General features: G+C 43.2%; 2 annotated features.

The window, feature by feature from the left end:
* Window positions 7,307-8,506: an enhancer, noted in NCBI's record as "P300/CBP strongly-dependent group 1 enhancer chr10:115141212-115142411 (GRCh37/hg19 assembly coordinates)". NCBI's record gives its function as "activates an origin of replication core promoter dependent on BRD2, BRD4, P300/CBP, MED14 and CDK7 cofactors, with strong dependence on P300/CBP, by STARR-seq in HCT116 cells {active_cell/tissue: HCT116}" and the evidence as "EXISTENCE:reporter gene assay evidence [ECO:0000049][PMID:35650434]".
* Window positions 11,164-11,273: a silencer, noted in NCBI's record as "silent region_2837". NCBI's record gives its function as "represses an Ori minimal core promoter by ATAC-STARR-seq in GM12878 lymphoblastoid cells {active_cell/tissue: GM12878}" and the evidence as "EXISTENCE:reporter gene assay evidence [ECO:0000049][PMID:35858748]".

The following is a 24,721-nucleotide window of genomic DNA, read 5'->3' on the forward strand; positions in this document are numbered from 1 at the left end:
GTGATCCTACCCTCTCTGTGTGTAGAGATTCATGCAACCTCCCCATTGGAAAGGGATTCTAGTACCACCCCTTCATTTTACAAAGGAGAACACTGAGGCCCAGAGAGTTCAAGCTAGATTATTTTACTTGGGAGCCTGGTTTAGACAGACAAGTTGTTAGTCAGGAGGATTCATCTGGTTGCTTCTCCAGGTGTTAAATGTTTGACAGATGCAAAGGAGAATCCACCGGTTATAGCTGTAACATCCAGCACTCAGGCCTAACCCTGCACACTCAGATGGAATTATTTCTGTAGGACTTGTGATCATAAGGACAAGATTTGTTTATCACCACACTGGTGAGAATATTGGGGGTTCCAGATGTGGCTCTCTACCAAAGGGCCACTGGATGGCCCACCAGCCCCCAAATATCTCTCCCAACTCCTGACTTGTGCTCCAATATTTCCAACAACAGTCCTTCCTTTGTGGTACTTCATGGTACTATGTGGTGTCTCCAGGTAGCCCAAGACCTAGTGAAAATGTGTTGCAAAGGAAGGAGAAGAGTGTAAACTCTTAAAGTGAATCAACTTGGTGGATTTACTAGCCTAAGAGCTGACAGTCCAGTGGGAGAGAGATGTACTTTTTTTTCCCGGCCAAGAAGGTAGGATGAGAAGACCACTGACTTGACTGCTATCACCTGGCCAGAACCAGAGCCACACAGAGACATGTCATCATCAAGGTTCTGCTGGTGGAAAGGAAGAGAAACCCATTCAAACTAACTTAAGCCAAAAATGGAGGCCTTTTCTAAGGACTTGGGGGTTTCTTATGCAACCCAAGGGAAGGAAGTGCTGCTGAGCCCCCAGAACCAGAAAGACATCAGGTACTAGGGTGGCCCCTCTCTCCACCTTCCCCTGGCCCAGGCTGGCATGTCTCTTGCCCTTGCTTCTCTCTGGGGTTCTGCGACAAATTTGGCAGAAGTTGGTCACTCCATTGCATCCAGGATGATTCTAGTTTGAGAGCCTAATGATAGTCAATACATCCTAATTCCAAATTCCTGGGAGTGAAAATATAATTGATTCAGCTTGAGTTTCTGTAAACTCTTGATCCAATTCACTGCAGTCAGGATGGCTCAGCAGTGTAGATTGGCTCTGGTGGCTAGAAGGGATTGGTGTGACCTGAGAAGAAATCCCCAAAGCTATGATACCTTGAAGAATGTTGCAGAGACTGCTAGTTGTTCCCTGGTATCTCTTTTCCCTTCTTTGATAGCAATAGAACCCTTTGACTTTTAGCTAAATACATGGTCTCCCAAAATGATGACTGTATTTCCTAGCTCTCCTTGCAGTTAGGTAAGGCCCTGTGCCTTAGCCCTGGCTAATGGATTCACACATAAGTGGTAGGTACTACTTCTAGAGAGGGGTCCTTATGAGAGGGATCATACCGCCTCCCTCCCTTTGCTAGAATGTGAACACAGTATAGAGAGAGGAAGCAGCCATCCTGAACCATGCAATGGAAGCCTTGAGTGGGGCATGGCAGAGCAAAAGTACTGACAGAGTCTGAGATCCTGTGGATTGTGGGCCACTATTTCAGCCCTAAACTGCTCAAGCAGACTTCCCTGTGACCGAAAAATAAATGTCTGTCTTGTTTATGCCATTGTTATTTTGGGTTTTCTATTATTCTCAGCCAAACAAATCCTTTATACTAGGGGACATATGGAGAAGCAAACCTGGGGATACTCTCTCCTTTACCATTTTATGGCTATAGTGCATGGCTATAGTACACACATGCACGTGTGCATGTGTGCATATACACATACAAACACACCAGACACCATACAGCAAGGATGGAGGGAACATTTCTTTCACCTGCATGGCCCCTAAGCTACATCTTCTGTCTTACCTTTGCAATAAGGCCTATGGCTTTTGCATCTTCCTCCTTGTGGGTATTTGAAGGTCATTGAGATATTCAAGGGGAGATATTCAGGATTTCTGAGGGGGTGGTATTTCCTGCTAATGGACAGATTCTTTCTCCTGCTAATGACAGAAGAGCTTCTGGAGAGCATCGGGACCCTTTGTTCTTTGTTTTCAAGGAGACAAGTTATTATTTCTTTCCTCTGAAGAAGCTTCTCCTACCATGGGTGAAATATCACAAATAATTAGGCCAAATAGCAATGCAAGTCCCACTAGAAATAATGCATCCATTATTTCATTTTATCCTTGTCGTTAGAGCTTCTGCCTGATTTAAGTTGGTATAAAGATAGCTGTGGGTATTCCCTGCCTGAGAACTCTAATCATTCTCTTTATTGAATATTTACCATTTCTTATTTGATTCTTCTTCTCTTGATCCATTGTTTCACAATTTAAAAGTTCTGCTGCTATTTTGATCTCATATAAAATCTCTATAGTGCCACTAATGCCTTGTTGCTGGGCTTCCCTTAAGTCTTGGGGAGGCATCTGACAGCCAGATTGAAAGGCTCATGTGTTGTGGTGACTGGGTGCTTTTAATGGTGTTAATGAAGAAGTGGCTCCCTACAGAGTCACCCAGTGGTCTGAGTGAGTTAAACAAGCTACTTAGATACCCGGGACAGAGGACAAGCAGGAGGACCATAAAGACCAGTGTCAACCAATATTTGTATTTGCTGATGAGCTGAATGAAGTGCACATGATTTTTAAGATAAATATTCTGTTACCATTAGAGACAAGATGATGATTAAATTCTGGAGAAGGAAATAGCATCAAAGGTATACAAGATCTAGCCTTGGTTTATGCTTCAATTCTAAACTTTGAGTTGTTGCTTCTAAGTAAATCGTCGTGATGATTTAGGAGACCTTTATCAACCCATACAGGAGTGTTACATGAGTCCCCACTATGTGCCAGATGTCATGAATCACATAGAAATATAAGATGCATTTCCTGCCTCTGGAGGCCCCCTATTCCAGTCTCAATAAAGAAGCAATATAATAAGGACATATCAGCTGTGTTTATAAATAGTGAGACTAACTCCACAAACCAAGACATCAATTACCTATGTTGGGAAGCCAGTTTAAAGTGATGTGAGAGAGTGGAGACGAGGAGCATGGTCAAGAACTTCTTAGAGGTGTTAGATCTCATACAAAATCATCTGGGTAAATTCCAAGTGAGTATAATAAGTGAGATAATTAATATGATATGCTATGATACAATAAGATGGGGTAGTGGTCTGGAGTCAGAAATACCAGGGATCCAATTGCAGCTTCTCTGCACATTAGCTATGCCTATGACCTTGACCAAGTTACTGCTCTTCTGAGCCCCAGTATCTTCATACGAAATAGGATAATAATAACAGTAGAACCTACATCACAGGATTTTGTGAGGATTAAATGAGATTATACACATATAGGGCTTGACTTATAGTAATGCCATTGGATCATAGCTTTGTTCTACAACAATGTCAGTAAGAGTAAGCCTAAAGCTAAAGGTTGTAACAAATGTTCATTTGATTAATCAACAATTCACTCAATTGCTACTTATTGAGTATCTACTTTGGGCCATGTTCTGGGGATGTAATGATGAGTCATAAAGGATGAGGGCTCTGCTCTCACTAAGCTTACAGCATGAACGGAGAGACATACATCAGTGAACAATGGCACTATTGCATCCATGAGAATTAATGGAGAGAAATACTTCAAAGAAAAGAACTACAGTTTAGTGACAGCTGACCAAAATGGAGGGTCTAGAGAAGGCTTCCCAGGAGAAGTGAGGATTGAGATGAAGTCTGAAGAAGGAGTGCGAGTTTCTAAGAGCAGAGGACAGGAGAGTACCAGTTGCAAAGACAGACAGAGAGAAGAGGAGGTGCCAAAGGAAGGTGCGGTCAAGAGATGGGGAGGGAGCAAAGGAGAATCAAAGCTGGGGATGGAGGAGGGGTGTCCAAGGAGTAGTCAAGGCCAGAGATCAACAGAGCAAGAGTTGAAGCTAGGGTTGGGGGTGGCGGGGAGGAGATGCACAAATCATGTGGGTCCTGGAACCCATGTTAGGGAGGTTGGTCTTTACCCTTGCAGTAGGAAGTGACACATCTGAATTGAGCTTCAAGAAGATCATCTGAAGGCATCCCTCAAAGGACGTCCCATCTCCTCCGCATAGCATATCATCCGAATAACTTAGTTGGAAGCAAATTACACTGAATTATGTGAAAGCTGCCTCCCTTGCTTATGTCTTGTGTTCCCACAGAGAACACAAACTCTCCAGGGGACAGAAACATGGCTCCGTGTGACTTGTACAGAATCCTGACAACACTAGGTGCTTAGATTGGCTATGTGCCCAAGTGTAAGACAAGCCTGAATATAAGGCAATGTCTCGTTTTCCAAAGAGAAAGCCAACTGGAATATATAAGCTTTTATAAAATAGTAAAATCCCTACTTTAATACTAAATGCATCGATTTATTTGCATATAGCACATATTATATAAAATAATATAAACATTTAGAAATAGAGATTCCCTAATCTTAAAAAAAAGTTTAGGTCATGAAATAATTATATTCACACTCTTCCCGGGCACCTTGGTCATTTGCCTTCGTTGTCACCGAAACCATTTTTGAATCATAACTCAGTTCTCCATCCCACATCATCTTCACTTCTAAATTGTTCAAGACACAGCACTTTGAATGATGTAAGATGCTGTCACTGAGAATTTTATTTGTGGCCCCAAGAGATTTTTTCTGTTTGTCCTATGGGTGGATATTTATGAACTCCACAAGGTCACCATTTATAATATGCTTTTTTAAGAAAGGCAAAGTTTAAAAGACTTGCTTAAAATACTTCCCATGTATTTAATGATGAAGTCATATCCTCAGAAATAACAACCGAATCTGCATGAAATATTTTGCCTCTTTTTTCCCCCCTGATATTATCAGATGATGTCTGTAAGTTTCCCCAACTTATTTCCCCCAACAACTATCATCCATTGAGATCTCTCTGGACTAATGTCGTTCCCCAAACACTTCCTTGGTGCTCAGAATAAAGTAATTGAGAAAGCATCAGGAGCGAGAAACTTTGTAAAAACTTATATACTATAGAACAGCTTTTGGGGAAAAACTTTGCCTTACAATCAAACTTATATAGCAAGTGTTTATCAAATGAATATATTTGCTTACTTCCCCTTTGATCATGACTTAAGGGACACCACAGGATGACATGGAGACTTTTGCTGGGAGAAATATTGTGTAACTTTTAAGAATCTATTTTATTTACCTTAAGCCAGTGGTTCTCAAAGGAGGGTAATTTTTGTCTCCCAGGAAACATTTGGCAGTGTCTGGAGGCATTTTTATTCATCACAACTAGGAGAAGGAATGCCTTTGGTATCTAATGGGTGGAAGCCAGGGATGTTGCTAAACATCCTATAATGCACAGGGAAGCCCCCCAACAACAAACTTATCAGGTCCTCAATGTGAATAGTGGCAAGATTGAGAACTCCTGGCCTAAAGTGAGTCAAAGACAATTGGCTTGAACTGAGTCAAGAGCAACGGTGGCACACCAGGGCTTTTCTACCTCCCGACATCCCTCATGAGATGAGAAGGTAGTCTCAAAGTCCTGAGTTTTTCCCTCTTCCTTGAGGCTGAGTTATTGAAAACAATCCTTCTGCTCTGCCATCCACTTTTCCTCCGCCTCTCATCCCAAGCCCCAAGTCCCTCTGTATACAGATGAATGGATGAATGAATAGCTGAATGAATGAATTCCATATGAAGGATGCCAGGGTACCCAGTCTGGCTTTGTTTGCTCAGAGAGCGTTGGTTCTCAAGGGGTAAGAGTAGCTCTTGGTCCTTACCAGGTGCTTCCTAGATCTTCTGAGACAGAGCCATAAGATTCAGATGGTTCTAGAAGTGGAGCAAGTGTCAAAATGAAGCATGTTGGATTAAATTGAGTTGGTAAGAGCATAAGCCCTGGAGCCAGGGGGGCAAATCTTTTCTTTCACTCAGTAGCTGGGTATCCATGGGCAAGGTCCGACGTCTCTTCATTTGTAAGATGAAGAAGATAATGGTACCTACCCCACATGGGTGGTGTGAGCACTTCTTGAGATTATGTAAGTAAAGTGTTTGAAACAGGCCTGGCATGTGACGAGTACTTATTAGTGTCCACCATTAGAATCACAGTGTTAAGCTTTTGGAGGTCATGGACCACTTTGAGAAGGTAATCAAAGCTGAACCTCTCCCCCTAAAATAGATGTGCATATGTACACAAAGTTGAGAAATCAACTTTTGTGAACCTCTACTATGAAAGATCACCACAGAATTCACAATACTCTTGGGACTTTCTGGTGTATTCCAATTAATGGGATTCTCCTTTCTCTGAAATTCTTCACAGCAAACTGACAATGCCACACAAGATAGTCTCCAACTTTATTCTATCTCATGTTGCTCATGAATAGTTTATACTTACAGTTTGTGTGTTGGTCTTCACAATCAGACCATAAATTCCTTGGAGACCAGGACTGGATGTGATGCTTCACCATCCTTTATAGTAATGGGACAGTGTATGGGTCTATGGTTCTAGGTCAAGCTGGCTACATTAGTTTCACCTGGGGAAGATTTCTGGGTCTCACTGCTGGAAGTACCTGGGAATGTATTTCTTAAAGTTCCCTAGTTTGTGGTGTTCTCAGCCAGTTTGGAGAACCCTTTTTGTTGCAGCGAGTAATCACAAGGAAATTTCTAGTTGATTATGGAGACAATAGCATATCCCACTAGATACCAGGTGCTGTGTCTGGTGCTTTCCAAGTATAGATTCCTGAAAGCTTAACAGCCCATTGAAGTATGTAGACAGTATCATCCTAGTTTTAGCATATGAAGAAACTGAGGCACAGAGAGGTTGAGTAACTGGAAGTAACAGAGCTGATGGAGTTCAACTTCTCTGACTCCAGTGCTCATGCCCTGAAGCCACCCACGCTGCCTCCATACTGGCGGATTATGAGATAATGCATTGCCTGGTCAATAACTCTCCTATTCACTGGGGTGGTTGCATTGTGAAATACACCCCATGTCTTGGGATCCCTCGAAATCTTTGGTCATTAAGGGGTTTGAATTTCTCTGTTCAAAGATTTGCCTGACTGCAGGCCTTAAGGTACAATGTGAACAGAAAAGGTGAGAGCACTTGGGGGAAGGATCATGATCACAGAGTCAACCTCCTCTGACAGGTGAGCCAAGGAGACCACCCACAAATCCCTTTGCAGGGATCACTTTACTATTTTGCTATTTCGGTTGCTGTTAACTGACAATCAAGCAAAGGCTGCTCAGCCAATGCTTCGAACTGGCTGGGAGATAGTCAAATAGTCATTTTAAGCACGTTATTCTAGACCTCTCAGAGTCCCAAGAAACCTATCCTGATGCCATAAGAAAATATGTAGTCCTGTATACTTTGTCCCTCCCCTCCTCGTAGTGATAAATACACAACCTGCAGCAGTGAAAGTTGGAATGCTTCCCTCCACGTGGAGCTGCATCAGCTGCAGGTGGGGCTGGTGCCTGATCCCAAGCTGGCTTGTGTTAGCCTGTGGCCATGTCCTCGCCCATGACTATGAACCGTAGGGGAGTGGGGGGCTGGATCAGTCATTGGTCTTCAGTTCACCCCCTTTTCATTTTAACGTCTGTCTCAGACCATTTGAACACATGTTTAGGAAAAATTGCCTCTCCCTTTCCAAACTGATCCTGATGGATACTGATGTTTTTATGATTATTAATAAAATCTTCAAGACAGAATTTTATGGGCACACAGAGACTCTAAAAAGTCATTCTTTGACTTGAAAAATTGTATATGGTAAGGATGCTGGAGGAAATTTTTAATAAGAATGTTCAAGTGGAAAGTCAGGGTGCAAAAGACAGAATTGTAAGAATCTGCTGCGGTTCCTTTCACCATTGAATTTGCTTCCTGCAAAGGCCTTCACGGTATGTGTTTCCTCAAGATAGCACACCCCCAGGAAGTGTCTTCGATGTGAGTAATGGTTTCAGTTTCGGTGGGCAGCCAGAAGTCTCTTTGGGAAAATATGTCGTTAAATATTCTTTGGTTTGTTTTTTATGATCGGCTTTGCTTTCTGCCCCCTTCCTCTGTCCTTCCCTCCCTTACTTCAATTCTGTCAACATCCTCTTTGAAGTTTCATGGATCTGTTCACCGAAATTGGGTAAAATCAAAGAGACTTAAAAAGAAACCCCAATTCCTTTTTAACCTCCAAGTGAGAATGGGTTGAAAAATGAGACACACTCGAGGGGCATGATGAGTTAAACACTGATGTGTCTCATCCTCAGAGAACAGGAAGGGCAGATCACCCGACATCTGGTTAGAAGTCAGCTTCATAATTCATGCAGATATTGTGAAGAAAATTCCTCAGTGAAGCCTGGAAAAATTTAGCTTTGCTCAATGCAAGGGAATAAATCAGCATTGTTTCCGCGTGCAGCCCTTGTTTTAGAAAGCAAGGGTAGCTGTAAGCAATACTGAGTCCCACCTGTGAATGTCCTCTTTCTCTGCCACCCCTACCTCCTCCACCTTCTCCTTTCCTCCTAGTTTTGGGAGTCCTGTAAAATCCTGTATTTACACTGGGATACTGGAAAACTTGGTCATTACCAGCACATAATGACAGGTTGGTTAATTAATGGTGTGCATTCAAAAATGGGAGTAGGACAAACAAGACAGCTAATTTTGATAATGAACAGATTCGAAGCAACCAGATGACAGTGTTCTCTGTATATAGTTCCACACCAGCCATGTTTTTGTTTGGATTCTGTGTTAATTTTAGAAACTGTAAAACACAACATGCCAAATTGGTTGATTGAAATAGTGCTACTTCCCAGAGGCTAACAATCTGTTGTCTCTTGCAAGAGGCAAGAGGTTGCAGCATAAGTGCTTACTTGGTTATAGGCAAGAGCCTCCACGCAAACCGGGGAATTGAGACAGTTGTCCAGGAAATTCAGTGCCTCAGTTAACTGGCTGCTTTGAGTATTTTGATTCTGCTTGATGCCTGTCTGCGTATTCCTTCATTCATTTGTTTATGCTGCCATTCATTACATATTGGTTCAACTCTCTTTGCCAGTATAGACCCAGATTATATTTTGATCGGGAACATTGTCTTTTTAGTCAAAGTTACAAAGAGTATTTTCCCTAAAGACCAGTCAAGGAAGCTGGCCATTTCAAGTAATCTACAAATATTTATTCCTGAAGGAATACTAACTTTTTAGGGACCTTTTAAACCCAACAAAATCTAGTTGCTGGGTTTAAAATGAATAGAAGGAAGGACGGAAGGAAAGAGAGAAGGAAGGAAAGAAGGGAGATGGATTGGTTTGTGATTTTTAATTCAGACAAACTTTGAAGAAACACCCTTTCTTTAAATAATAAATACTGGCTGCTAATTTGTTGAATTTTAAATAATATGATAAAATGGTACTTAAGGAAGCTATACACAACAAAGATAAACATTTTTGCTCTCATGGGATCTCTATTTAAAAGTAGAAAAGATTGTTTTAACAGAGCGTCATATAATAGCAAATATGGTAGCTGGCTTATTAGAAAGTCATAAATGTTTATGTTTGACTCACATTTTGTAAAATGTTGTCACTGAGCGTGGTTATATATGGCAGTTTCTTGTAGTCCGTCTCACTAAAATTAACTGTTCACTAGTAAAAGGTTCACAATACTGGGTATAACTTAATGAGAATTAAAACAAGCTCCTCTTTTCAGCAGAGCTTTTGCTTGAGAGAAAAGTCCCCCCAGAATATCAGGGAGATACTTCAGATAAACATTCAGAATCACCTCCTGGCTAAGCATGTGAGCCAGGAAAAAAAGAAAAAAAAAAAAAAAAAAAAGAAAAAACTCAGTCAAGACCCCCATGGCAAGTGGAAAGGATTTGAAATAGCTCATAATTTGGGCTTTGAGCTATTCTGCAGGGTTGTTAGCTGTTTGGTATGATTCGTTTTATCCAAGAGCAGTTCCGGATTGTCAGGCATCCTCTCTTATTGCAAAGATAAATAAATAGAAATTCAGACATTCGGGGAGAATTTGACTTTTATTTCCTTCTTCCTCATTAGAGCCTATTTGGACCCTCACCCCCACCCCCACCCCCCTTTTAAGCCTTTCCGTTTCATGATAACTCTTTCAAGAAGAGAAACAAGCATAAAACAAACAACAGTTAGAAAGAAGCAACCACCTTGTTGGGGATTCCTGTGAATGTATTTAGAAATGAAACACTTCTTGCTTTTGCTTTAATAAGCATTTAGGAGGCTCTACTATCGGGCCATGAGTAATGAGAAAGAGGTATGGTTTTGATTTACTACTGTAGTTTAAATAGACTTAGAATCCAGTGAAATTGTTTTGTTCTAATTCTATCCATTTTTTTCTCAGTTCACCAACTTCTCAAAGAAAGACTTTCCCCAAGTAGCCGGCATTTTCCCAGTATGATAAGGCAAGCAGCGAGAAAGTTTTGTTGTTGTCTTTGTCTTGCTTTTCCCCACTTCAAGCCTCTGAGGCCCCATGGAAATCCTTGGAGTACACTTGGTTGAGTATGGACCATTCTAAATGAAATACAAATCAAAAGCATCCTTTCACTGGCCCCTTTAGGTTCTTAAGCAGAAGAATGTTCTGATCACTGAAGCCATTTCAAGACCTGAAATTAGAAAGTAATAAAAAATATCACACTCTCCCTGGTGGGTAGGACATATAATTGGTTCCCCAGCAGGACTTCAGCTCCAAGTGAGAAATGCGTAGCCTGTGGATCCTTGCTTTCAGAAGAACCACATGCAAACACTACCAAATAAGTAAAAAATAAGCAAAGGGAAACAGGAAAACCAGAGACAAATTCAGAAATAAATAGCCAAGGGCTAGAAAGAATAAAGAAAAAAAAAAAGCATTAACCCCAGATGTCTTTAAACACAAAAATTTGTGCACAAAACACCAGACGAGACGGTAAGTTTATGTGTTTAGATCAGCTTGGACAAACACCGCTGTTCAGGACTGCAGTTATTTTTTTGGATTCCATTCTGGCTGCAAGATGTTCTTGGGGAGAAAATGGACTGTGCTCACACAATCCTAACTGTTTGGGATTTGACTTAAAAAACTGGCCAGGGCCTTGATTTGCAGCTCACTCTTGGCCTAAGCCCGGCGTTCCAGCCGGTTGGGTTTTGTTGCTCGTGGAGTTTGGAAGCCGAACAGTTGGGGTGTGCTGCGATGGACAGGGCCACTGAGCACACAGAGCCTGGTGCTATGCTGCCACCTTCTGTCTAATGTGTCATAGCAAGAGGTGGCTGAGCTCTGGACTGCCTAGAAAACTCGGTGACTTTCTGCCTTTGAGAGTCAGGTCCTCTATAATCTGCACATTCCGGAGCAGCAGTGCCCTCTCTTCCTGTACACCTGTGGGTTCAAGGCCTTGGGGGCTGGCCCTTTGATAGCTTCTTCCAGAACCCACGCCAGTCTGTTTGTTTGCCTCTCTTCCTCATTCCCTCCCTCTCTCCCTGCCAGATCTTGAAGTTTCCGTAGGTAGAAGGGTCTGGAAAAACGAGGTTGAAGGCAAAGACAGGGCTTTTCGTTTTCAAACGTCAGCACACTCTTGTCTAAATTACTGCCAAAGACAAATGGGATGAAGTGGAGGAAAGGAAAAGTGAGATTGAATAGCAGGAAAAAAGCCCTGACAGCAAGATCTATTGCCCTGTGGAGAGGTGTCCCCAGGGGTGAGCTATTGGTTGAGATATTTAAAACTTGAGTGGACAAAACATTAGACCCTTCACCACAGGGAACAATTCTACAGCAGCCCCTGGGACCTGACCCTCGTGAGCGCAGAGGTCCTTCCCAACTCTAATTTTTTATGATTTCTCAATTGACTTCCCATTCTATAAAAAGTATTCTGTTGCTGCTCAGAAACCCAACTGCTTTGACATTCTGTTTGAGGTCGGGATGGTTTCAATCTACTTTCAGTTGTGTGCAGCATTGAAAATGCCCCTATACCTACTTTTTTTGAGCCAAAGAAATGTAAATTCATATAATTAAGCCTAGAAATATGTATTTGAGGAATGACATAGGGGACACTGCCCTTGACAACTGGCCAAGACATGACTCGCCAAGCACCCGGGGATTTGCTGTACAGCCTTTGACAAATGCTTACCCTTTCTGAGTCACCAGTTTTCATTGGGTTGTCTCACTGGTCAGGATGAGAATATCTGATGCCAGTTGGGAACATTTTGGAAGGACTGTGGTGGTGAAAGAAATAGCTTAGTTCTGCACCTGATTGCCAATCACTCCTTGTTGTGAGGATTGTACACTTCTCAGCTTGCAGGCCTGGATCAGGGGAGACAAAAGGAGGGAGAGAGGTGAGATGTCGGATGTGCGGTCATGGTCTTTGCTTGCAGGTTCTCCCTCCCTGGGGTGACTGGGTTCAGCCATCCAGCTGATTATTTTTAGGCTCTTGTTAATTGCCAGGCATGGAGCTAGGAGCTTGTGTGTCAGAGTGGAAGTGAACAAAAACAGTGGAGAACAAATGGAGTCCTCAGGGATACCTATCTCAGTGGCTTCGAACTGTTCTTAGGGTAAAGTTTAAAATCCCACATTCTGCAAAGCATCAGGTGATCTGGCCCTTCCTGCTTCTTTGATCTCTCCTTGGACCTTTCTCCAGCAGGCTGAGTTCCCTCAATTTTCCTTGGTGAGCTCTGTTTCTTCTCATCTCAGTGCCTGCCTGGGTGCTCAGCCCAGACACTCCTGGTCTTGCCACCCCTTTCACCTGGTCAGTGCTGCTTCTCATCTTTCAGTTCCCAGCTGTAAGGTCTCTTGCCCAGAGACGCCTTCCCAGACCTCTGGGCTGGGGTTCAGTTTCTCCAGCATGTGCCCCTCTGGGCCTTGTCTCATCTCTATCCAAGCACATGCCATTAAGGGTGAGTGCAGGACTGGAGGTTTACTATGGATCTCCTTGCCAGCCCATGCTCCGTGTGACAGGCAACTCGCTTGTCTTGTCTTTGCCTCGCAGGGCCTCCCACAGGGCCTTGTTCAAAGTATAGCTGTTGAGTGGATGAACAAATGAAAGGCTGAATGAATGAAGTGCTATAACATTGGTAGGCACTGTTGCAGAGGTTGAGATAAGGAATTGCACCCGGAAGGGCTTCCTGTAGGAAAAGTTAAGAGTTTCTCTGTTAAGAAAGGTCTGGGGGCAGTTTCTACTGGTTACCCTCCTCACCCCATCCCCACCAGCCTAGGAATGGGGTCAGTTTAAAATTTCTCATTGTAAAATAATACATAGCTGTAGTAAGAAATTCAAACATTACTGAAATGTATAAGCACTAAAAGTCACCATCCTTGCCCCTACAGACATCCTACCCTTTTGGGGATAACCATTACTTCCCTTCCTCCCTCCCAGATGTTTTCTTTATACCTTTTCCTCAGTTGTGGAATTATTTTAAAGTGTTTTATTCTGCCCCAAAAGGTGTATGACAATGTCCTAGAGGGCCTGACTCATTATTTTACTCAACTGGGGATTTGGGGAAAGTCTGGAAAAGTTTGCAGGCCAGAGTTTATTTCCTAGGAGCCAATTTCCCAGCCCTGGGACACAGGGGTTTTGGTCTGGAGAGACCTTTTTCAGTAAGTACAGTGACTATTGATTTCTGCCACAAAGAAGATTGATATGCCAGGAAATCTTAATAGTATGGAAAATATGAATAGTTTGAATGCATTTATGCTCAATAATTCTCAAGTTTAGGGATCGCTTTAATTACACACACACACACACACACACACACACACACACACACACACACACACACAAACCCTGGAGCACAGATGTTGGTCTTCTTTATGATGAGCAGGATAGGGTGAAAGGGGAAGAGTTAGTGATGAGAGCTGATGTTGGTGAGGGCCCTTCATCGGGCTAAGTGCTCTCTCTATATGTATCATTTTATTCAAGTTCCCTGACAACCTTGTGAACTGGGCCCTGCTATTGTCATTCCCAGTTTACAGATGAGGGAACTGAGAGTCAGAGAATTGAAGTATCTTACTCACGGTCAGCAAAACAAGTGAGGGTCGGAGCTAGGACTTCCACCCAGGCCAACTGGCATGAGAGCCTGCAGGCTTAACTACAAAGCAGTTTTGGCACCTGCCTAAGTTTAAGACTGCGGGATGGGATATGGAATCAGAAGACCTAGCTGTATTCCCTCTTAGCTATAGGAGCTAAAATATTCTCATTTCTCAGAATGTCAGTCTCAACCCTTATAAATGAGGATGATAATTGCCATCCCACAGGGTAATTGGAGCTACTAAATGGAAGTTTTTGGTCAACTCCAGCACACTGTTCCATTTTTATGAATGCCTCTTAGGTGGCCGGGAGTTCAAGACCAGCCTGGCCAACATGGTGAGAGCCCGTCTCTACTAAAAATACAAAAATTAGTCAGGCATGGTGGCACATGCCTGTAATCCCAGCTTCTTGGGAGGCTGAGGCATGAGAATTGCTTGGATGCTTGAACCCGGGAGGCAGAGGTTGCAGTGAGCCGAGATTATGCCACTGGACTCCAGCCTGGATGACAGCAAGACTCTGTCTCCAAAAAATAAATAAATAAATAAATAAATAAATAAATAAATAGAAAAGAAAGAAAGAATGCCTCTTAGCTAATTTCACAGTGGCACTTCTCAAGATGGCTAAGATTGGTAGGAACCCTTGAGTAGAACAATTCTAAACGACAGGAATCTCCCATGTCAAAAAAGGGGTGGCTGGAGAGTAATGGCTGTCCTTCTTTTTTTTTTTTTTTTTTTGAGACAGAGTCTTGCTCTGTCACCCAGGCTGGAGTGCAGTGGCACGATTTCGGCTCACTGCAAGCTCCTCCTCCTGGGTTCACACCATTCTCCTGCCTCAGCCTCCCGAGTAGCTGGGACTACAGGGGCCCGCCACCACACCTGACTAACTTTTTAAAATATTTTTAGTAGAGACGGGGTTTCACCGTGTTAGCCAGGATGGTCTCAATCTCCTGACCTCGTGATCCACCCACCTCGGCCTCCCAAAGTGCTGGGATTACAGGTGTGAGAGTAATGGCTGTCCTTCTAACCACACCGTCCACTCCCGGTCTCTTTCTCATTCCCGTCTCCAGCTGCATGGTCATTAGTGATGTAGCTTTGTGTCCATGGCAGTCTTTATGATGACTGCTTTCTTTTTTTACAATTATTTTATTGTCTTTGTGAAGCGATTCGTGCCTCCTGTGAACAGTCAAATAACACAGAAAAGTAAAAATAACCATATTTTAAAATACTCACCTCAGTGCTTTCAAGACACTTCATTTTTTGGTTCTTGGCATGTGGGTTATAGACTGTATTACTCAGAATAGATTTTAAAAATAGCATACAAATACCGTCCTTCCCCGAAATCACGGTGAGGAAGGACTTGTTGTGAGATGTTAGTAGGCAGAGTAAATAAGCAAAGAAAATCCTCTTGAATGAATCAGGTGGGTCTCCCCACCTGCTGCTTTGGGTTATTCGAGTTTCAACACTATGCAAGGGGAAAACTGACCTTGGTTTATAGCATGCCTTGTGAAATGTCTATTTTTTTTTCTTTAAAAAACCAAACACTGGCAGAGAATGTAAATGTGCCTTCTCTCCCTCTCCATGGCCTCTTTCCTCTAGCAAACACGTGAAATCTCACACATATTCACGTGCATGGGGGCCGACTGTCTGATTCAAGATGACAAGGCTGTTCTCCATGTGTCTGTCAAAGAAGCCAAACTCCAAAAGGCAAACAAGACCAGATGGGAAACCACAGGACCAGCCCCCTGCCTTTGCAGTGTGTTGTCACCTCACTTGGGTGGACAGCCGGTGCAGAGATGAAGAGGGTCTACCCTGTTTCTGAGTTGCATTTAGCAAATAGGATGGCTTTCTACTCCTAACTCATAGGGCATCACCAGCCCACGGCTTTCCTTAGCTTGACCACCTACAAGCCACTGGCTGGGTCCCTCCACGGCTTACCAGCTTTACCTTCCCTGCTGCAGAACAGATTCTAGAAAAGAACTCAGGTCCACTGTGCGAGAAACAGAACAGGCCAGCTGCAGTTGTTTATTGTGGATTCCTGGACTGCCTTCCTGGCTTAAGTCTGTGAGGCGAGGGGAGATCATGGAGTTCTTCCTCGCTTTGGCTGTTTCAATATCTGCATAGATGCTTTCTTCTAGTGAACAAACAGACATAATAGTAGCAAAACTCAGAATATCTTCAGTGCTTTATAGTCTGCCAAGCACTTTCACATTTGTGAACTTCTGTGACCCTCTCAGCCACTGTAAGAGGAGCAAAGAAGGTGTTATCCCTATTTCACAGGAGGATACCGGGACTCAGAAAGGTCAGGTGATTTGCCTGTGTACTGATGGGGCTAGGACTTCCTACTCTCCACCCCCTTCCCTTAAACATGTCTCGAGAGCTCCCAATAATCCAACATTCTCGGAGCAGAAGATGAACTTGGAGGAATGACCTGAAGCCACCTGCTGCTAGGGCCCCTGACTCCCTCATGCCCACTTTCCCCTTTGGGCTCCGTTTTCAGTCCCCTCTTGGGATCTGTGTGGGAACAGTGTGCCCAACACCTGGTATAGCTGCATGGCCTCCTTCTCCTCCCCACATGGTGGCTTGTCACAGTCTGGGCAGAAAGTTGACAGTGACTGGCGGCTGATGTGTCTCTTTGAGGACTACCAGGGAGCAGGCAGGCTGGCATTTTTGGGGGGCTGTCCCAGGTAATATTTTTCAGACTTGTTTTTGAAAAACCAAAGTCTGGCTAGTGTCTTGCTATTCCAGAAGGGGTGGCTCTGGGTAGCATCAAAAGAGGTGATCCTGAATTGTCCCAGGGTAGAAACAATTGCTGAGAAGTGAAACCTGGTTTTTGACTTGTAGGAATTTGAAGAAGTAATGCACAGGAGTTGCATTGGCCTTTAGTTCCAGCAGTCGGGGCCGATCAAAGACCCCAGTGTGTGTGATGACTCTGGCCACTCATTTCTACTTGGACTTGCTCCAGGACCACACACAGGTGCATAACATCTTTTCACAAAGGCCAGCCACTTGGTTTTTATTTGCATAAAATTCCACCAACCCATCCAGGATACGCCTTATTTAAGCAGTCTTCGGTTTGGAATTCTAAAGAATCTCACCCTCTTTTCCTGCAGCAGGCTTCTCTCCTGCCCCCTTCCCAGGCATTGCTGTCTGCTTATATCAGAAGTGGTCAGATAAGGACCAGAGGGTAGTTGGGTGGAGCAGCAGCAAACCCCCTGGTATACATTGTTTTCTTGTTGGCTGAATATGAAAAAATTGCTTATATATTAATAATAGTAATAATGCACCAAGCACTATGCAAAGAACTTTGTAAACATGATCTCATTTAATTTTCAGACCAATCAATTAGGTATAAACACATTAGTATTCCCATTCTACACAGGAGAAAAATTAAGGCTTATGGAAGTTAGTTAGCTTGCCCCAAATCATACATTGGCAGCTTGAGAGCGGCATCTAGAACAATCTCACTCCAGAACCCTGCACTTTGAGTCACTGCCCACATAGACTATTGAGTTTCAAGTTCTAGATGCAACCTGGAAATAATACTTATATTTTGGCCTTATCTGTATTTCTGCAAGTAAAATTTTACTAACAAGCCCCCTCAGGGACAGAACCTAGAAAGCTGGGCCTTTTCCCCTGCCGATTCTAGAGTTAGTCTATTCTGTAGTCAGTAACTCAGCCACTTTGAGGGTGCAGCCTGTCCTATATGAGGGCTCCACTGTAAAAAAGTAAAAGCTCTCAAGTACAGAAATCCTTCTTCTGAACCAAGTGTTGCCAGATAAAATACTGATGCCCAGTTAAAATTTGCATTTCATGTAAACATTGAATAAACTTTTAGGATAAGTATCTCCCATGCAATATTTGGGCTATATGCATCCTTAAAAAGTATTTATTGTTCATCTGAAACACAAATTTAATTTGGTGTCTTTTTTTTTTTTTTTCTAAATCCCTGTGGAACTCAAAACAAATATATCTGAACCAATCAAAAAACTGTAATGTGGGTCTGGTATCCAAGTGCATCTCAGAGACATGGTTAATATGGTTATAATAATAATAATAATGACAGTTAAGCACTGGAACGTTGGGATTTCTGTGAAGCTTCTATGGTTTATGTGGGATCGATGACAGACATTCGAATTAGAATTGGCACAGAAAATCTGGGACAGATGGTTACTGTATAGATAGGAGGTGACTTTTGACTTGATTAGAGTGATTCTCAATCCTGGCTACATACCAGAATCACCTAGGGAGTTTTAAAAAGTACTGATGCCTGGGCCCCATGACATGCTGATAGTAAAATATTCTCACATTCCAAGGCTTCCCAAATGGTGTAGGTGAAACAGTGGTACAGGAGTTCAGAAGAGGGGATGCTGTACAACTGGAATGGTCCCATTGGCTTCCATGGAAGAATAGGGGACCCAATAGGCTGAAGGATGGAGAAAGTTTTTATAGGCAGAGAGGAGCAAGGAGACTATGCCAGGTGAAGGAATGGCTTGGAGAAGAGGGTTTGAAAGAAAAAAGTGTGAGCCAGGTACAGAGGACAGACCAGTCAAATTAAAGTGGCACATCTAACTAGGAGCAAATTTGTTTAAATTAAACTTATTGTTTCTGTGTAAAAAATAATAGGCCAGGCACGGTGGCTCATGCCCGTAATTCTAGCACTTTGGGAGGTCAAGACAGGTGGATCACCTGAGGTCATGAGTTACAGACTAGCCTGGCCAGCAGGGTAAAGCCCTGTCTCTATTGAAAATACAAAAATTAGCTGGGCGTGGTGGTGGGTGCCTGTAATCCCAGCTATTCGGGAGGCTGAGGCAGGAGAATCACTTGAACCTGGGAGGTAGAGGTTGCAGTGAGCCGAGATCATGCCATTGCACTCCAGCTTGGGCAATAAGAGTGAAGCTCTGTCTCAAAAAAAAAAAAAAAAGAAATTAATAATACATTAATAATACATGAAGTTGTGGCATTTTATAAAATGCAATAAAACAAGATAGAGAAAATACCATTGCCTGTCAATCCATCGTTGAATGGAAATCACTTATGAATTCGGGCTACTTTTCTATGTCCTTTTGGACATTGATGAGAACACACCATACCACAATCGTGTACCCTACATTTTTAAACACTCGATCACAGGCATTTCTCCCTGCCATTAGAAATTCTTCATGAATGTTTATGCTGGCCTCACTGGTCACCATGTTATCCATGTAGCGTAAGTCTCTCAACCTTTCTCTCACAGTTAGACATTCTAGTTGTGTGCAGTTTTTTACATATTTGGATGTTGATTTGAGATTTACAAGAAGTGAGTGGGAGAGACTGAATATAGGACTTTCCCTAGTAGCCCATGGTCTAAAAGAATTTGGAGGGACTTGCTTCAGACCGTGCCTTCTTAAGTCCCAGAGAAGAACTTTGAAGTCTTTACCATCCAAACCAGGCTTCAGATTCCTCAAAGTCAAAATGGCGCCCATCTTGGGGTACTCTAAGCAATGTGTGATGCTTTCCCTCCCCAGCCCGAAATCACAATTCCTAACAAATAGAGGTGCTACTCACTCTCAGTACAGACCTCTGTCTGGCCAAGAAAGTACTGTTGTGACCTAGGATTTTTTTTAACACCCAATTAAATTTGTGTAATTGGATAGAACTGCAACTTCTTTGCCTCCAGCTGATTCATAATCTGTTTCACACCCGAGTGTTGTTTTTCTTGATTTTTAGTATTTTTCCCAGAGTAGTGGAGATGGGGTACAAGGAGAGAGCCCTTTCCTACTTTTTGATGTATCGATTATTTTTCTACCATTTTTAAGAAGGTACAGGTGGTTGGCCTATCATTAATTTTTCTTGGGCCAGGACTCTATTTGAACCCAAGTTTTCAGCACCCGACTATTTCTGGAGACTGCTATTTAAAATGTCTAGGCATATGGAAACAGTCCAATTAGGAAGAAACAGTTGGTCAAGCTGGAGACTCAGCTCACGTGCCAGCTATGAACAAAATGGAATTTTGTCTGAAACTCACTAGGTGCAATTCCCAAGGCTGTGGGAATGACAAGTAGATCATGCTACTGTGTTACATTCTGTGGGTTGGAAAATAAACTTAATTGAGGGGTACCAAAGAAGCTTGAAGTGCCCTCTTAATATTTAATGATTTTTATCAGAGCTCCATAGTTGAATACGAAGTAAATAGGGAGGGGTATTTTTGGCCTCCATCAGGTTGTATTATCTAGACCTCTTTTCTCCCTTGGGACAACACCCCTGTCTCGCTTGCTGAAGCTGTGCATATTCCTGACCTGAGCTGACAGTCATTCACTCTGTAGAAGACTCGTATGTTGATGAATGCTTCTCAAACTTGAACATGCGCTGGAATCACCTGGAAGGCATGTTAAACTCCAGATCGCAGAAGCCCACTTCTGATTCAGTAGGTTCTGGGGTGACAGGGTCCAAGACTATGCAGCTCTAACAAGTTCCCAGGTGATGCTGTTGCTGCTAATCAGGGGACCCATTTTGAGAATGACAGTGTTAGACTTCAAAGGTGCTTCCTTTAGAAACATCTAGTCTGAGTATTAAAAATTCACCTTCCGCCTCTTCCTTCTCATCAGTCCTGCTACTTTTTCCTCATGGGTCCAGACTAGCCTCAACGTTCTCCTGATACAGTGGTTTAGAACCTTGCTACGTATGTGCTCCATGGACCAGCAGCACTGGCATCATCTGAGAGTTTGATAGACATGTTTGGAATCACAAACCCTGCTCCAGGACTATTGAATTATAATCTGTGATATGATTTGGCTGTGTCCCCTCCCAAATCTCATTTTGAATTGTAGCTCCCATAATCCCCACATGTTGTGGGAGGGACCCAGTGGGAGGCAATTGAATCATGGGGGCACATCTTTCCTGTGTTGTTCTCCTGGTAGTGAATAAGCCTCATGAGATCTGATGGTTTTATAAAGGGGAGTTTCCCTACATAGGCTCTCTCATTCTCTCTTGTCTGCCACCATGTAAGATGTGCCTTTCACCTTCCACCATGATTGTGAGGCCTCCCCTGCCACATTGAACTGTGAGTCCAGTCCATTAAACCTCTCTTTCTTTCTAAATTACCCAGTCTTGGGTATGTCTTTATCAGCAGCGTGAAAATGGACTAATACAATCTGCATTGAAGAAGATCCTGGAGGATCTCTATACACAATACAGTTTGAGAAGTGTGGGGCTAGGCACCCAGAGTTACACTGGAGTTGAAGTCTATTTGCTTACTGTAACCCAACCACTTCATTGTGGAGCTGAGGAAACAAGAGCCCACAGAAATAAAATTATTCACCCACTTTCAAGTAGCTGACTCTCCTTGGTTTTGCTAGCGTGACAACTTAAGATGTTAGCTAATAACCTTAAAAAAGCAACACAAATCCCCTACCTCACCTCCTCTAATAATATCATTGCATTTTTAAATGGTCTCAGAAATGGAAAAGTCTGAACTCGAAGGGCAGGTGCTCTAATGATTAAATGGCAGGCAGAAGAGTCAAGACAAATAGCACTTTCACCAAATGGATGCTGACACACAGCCACTAGAAACTGCTAGTAATGCAGCCAACTGATCTCCCCCTACTAATTCCTGGCTGGAATATGGGCTATAGGACCCAAGCCTTGATACTACTCATGCAGATGCTCTGCTCTACACAGAACAGGGCAATCAGGCCTGCACTCACTACCCTCATAGTCCTAGAGAGACACCGGCACTCTTTCTCTCAAAAACATTCCACAAAGCCAGCATCACAGGCAGGTTCGAATAGAAAAGACTATTGCTTTAGAATGTAGCAAATGTAAAATGTACATTTGTACAGCATTGTGCACTCAAAGATGAGAAGGAAAAGGCCAGACATGGGCTTGAATGTAGGGCTGGAAAGGCCCACAGTGATGCATCAATCCACAGGTCCTCAGTCCTGGCCAGTGGAGCCACTGGTCACTTTGGGGGCATAGGATACAGAAGGGAGGATGGGCTAATAGACCAGGGTGGGAGCAAACCTCAGGCAGGGATAGAAGATGGAAGGGGTGTCCAGTGCTAGGAGAGGGTGCGCATGTTCACCATGGATTTATGTGCCAAGTAGGCCAGAGTTAATCTGTCCCACCACCATCCCAACTCTTAGAGAAACAGAGAGACCGATTCTTAACTTTATTTTTATTATGGGGTCCTTAGAGAGTCTAGTTAAGGCTATGCAATCTCTCTTACCAGATGTAAGTGACATTTGCATTGTTTGCATCTGTGCATACAATTTCAGGTGTTTCATAGCCCTAGAAGCATGAATCTCTAGGGGATCCAAGGATCCCACATGAAAAATTCTTGATCAGTGACCTAAGTCAGTGCCTGTCTAAGTCAATGCTGGCCCTTCAAGTCCAGACTTTTCCATTTCTAAGACCTGTTTAAAAATGCAATGATATTACTAGAGCGGTGGGTTTGTGTTTCATTTTTAAGGTTATTAGGCCTGACTCACATGGCTGGTCAGTGGTGGAAAGAGTACCAGGCCTCCTAACTCTGTACAGGGCTCTTTAGACGACCCCAGAGAAAGACACGTAAGGTGATCCAAATTTGGGAGCTGAACCTACCTGAACTGAAGGAAGCCTTGAAATAGTATCTTTTTTTGATTTTCTAAGTGCCTTTTTGGAAGTCAAATGAAAAGCCAAGGTCTTAATTGACGTATTTCATCTACCAATACATATTAAGCACCTACTATGTAAAAGACTGTTCTAAACACGAAATAAAGCAGACAACCAGTCAGATACTGGCCCTCCCTTTGGGATGTCTATGGTCTAGCTGGGCAGACAGAAAAGGAACAAGTACTAATTATTATAAGTTGCTGCTAAATGAGCATTATAAAGGTTATCTTGAGCTCGTTTGGAGAAACTGTGCTAAATAAATGATTAACTTTAATACTATAAATAATGTTAAACCCTTGTGTTTATGAATAATTAAAGGTGCTTCCATTATAGAAACTCAGAGCTCAGGGCACCTCCTGTTCCTTCTCAGAGCGGCCGTCCTGGCTTGCAGCTGCAACTCCACCATCTCCCTGTGGGTTTTCCCTCAGTGCACGTGGGCTGGTGCCTGTCTCGCCTGTGGGAGAGATGTGGGTGAGCCGTTTGGAGCCAAAGTCAGACTCTCCGATCAGAGTACTCAGTAAATATTTACAGTATTTCCTTCTCACATCAAATGCCGGGGATAATCAGAAAAACTAATGAACTCAGGCTGACCCCTGTTGCGCTATAATAAATATTTATGTGGTGCATTTTGGGAGGCTGGCCATGGGACTGTGAGGAAGTGGCTGTGGCACTTTCTTCTAAAGAAGTCATCAACATCGCTCTATTTCCAAACATCCAGAACAAAGTCAGGGGAGAGTGAAACATCCCACTGGGGGATGATGAATGCTTGAGCCCTCTTGTATCCCGGAGATTGGCAGCACGCTGTTGGCAGGTCGGTAGTGAATTAGTGGGAGCCTGTGCTTTCTGGCAAGGCTGCTGAGTCCATCGGAGTTGGGAGATCAGGTGAATGGAACTGCATATTTTGGGCCACTCAAGTTTGCTGTAAATGCTGTTGCCTTTTACAGTATTTAAGTTCCAAGTGTACGAGAAGGCTATTGGGGGGCCCACTTCCTGAATTGGTGACCAGACTAGAGTGTGAGGCAATGACTTGGTAGGCTATGATGATAAAGAAAGATTCATAACCCCAAACTTGAGTTGGGAGGCACTGCTGAGTTATGCTTAGAAAAGGGTCCAAAAGCTTCCAAGGAATTTTGCTTCTTTTAAAAAATATCCAGGTGAGAGAATATGGCTCTGTGCTAAGTTGGGTGTCTGAGAGCTTTGGTGATCATTACATAGAGGTGTTGGAATCTGCCGGGCATTGCTTGCTTTTCTCTCTGTTTGCCACTTGGCCCAGTTGTGTTAAGCTGCTCCAGGACTCCCAGGGTATCTGGGGGAGCTGGCTGAGGTCTCCGCAACTTGTCTTTTTACTACCACCGAGGAAGAAACTAATGTCAGCATGCTTGCCAGATGCAGACGGAGTTCTGTGCTCACATATGGCATCTCGTCTCATATCTGGGAAGGAAATGTTGAAATAACCTAGGAAGGATACATCTGGAATGGAGTAGAAATGCTATCTCCTGCAACATCTCTTCTCAAGATTCTCTTTTCTAGGAAAGGTGGCCCAGAAGATCAGAATTCAGACCCTATGCTGGCCAAGATTGGGTCCAAATCAACACAGGTGGGGCAGGAAAAGGGACAAGGAGAGGCATGCAGATTGTGAACTCCCCCCAGGCAGAAACTCAGTTTGGATGATTCATATTTATATCCCTTCTTCCCTCCCAGGATCAAGACAGGTGGTAATTTCTTACCAGTAGGTAAAAAAATTCAATCATTTCTCCATCCTGATATACATGTGTGGCTTTGGTTGTATATACAAGTATACCCAACCGGTTTGGTCATTTGCACTCACTCAGTTAATTAACACATTTGAGAGAAAAGTTGTTTTTAATAAAAAGTTGAAAAAGGCTTTTGACTTTTGGGGGATTGAACAAACCCACAAAATTAGTCAAAAGGATTGAACCAATTTAAAGATAGAATCAGCCATTCCTACCTAGCTCCAAACATAAGTAGGTGGCAGATGTTGGCACACACACCTAGCCATGGCTTGGGGTGAAGAAATCACCACTTGGCCAAGATGCCTCCATGCTTCCTGCACTCCTCAGACTCCTCCAGATGTGGCTCTGCCATCTGGGAAAAGTCATCTTCCT

Source organism: Homo sapiens, chromosome 10 (genome assembly GCF_000001405.40).
Source record: "Homo sapiens chromosome 10, GRCh38.p14 Primary Assembly".
Lineage (NCBI taxonomy): Eukaryota > Metazoa > Chordata > Mammalia > Primates > Hominidae > Homo > Homo sapiens.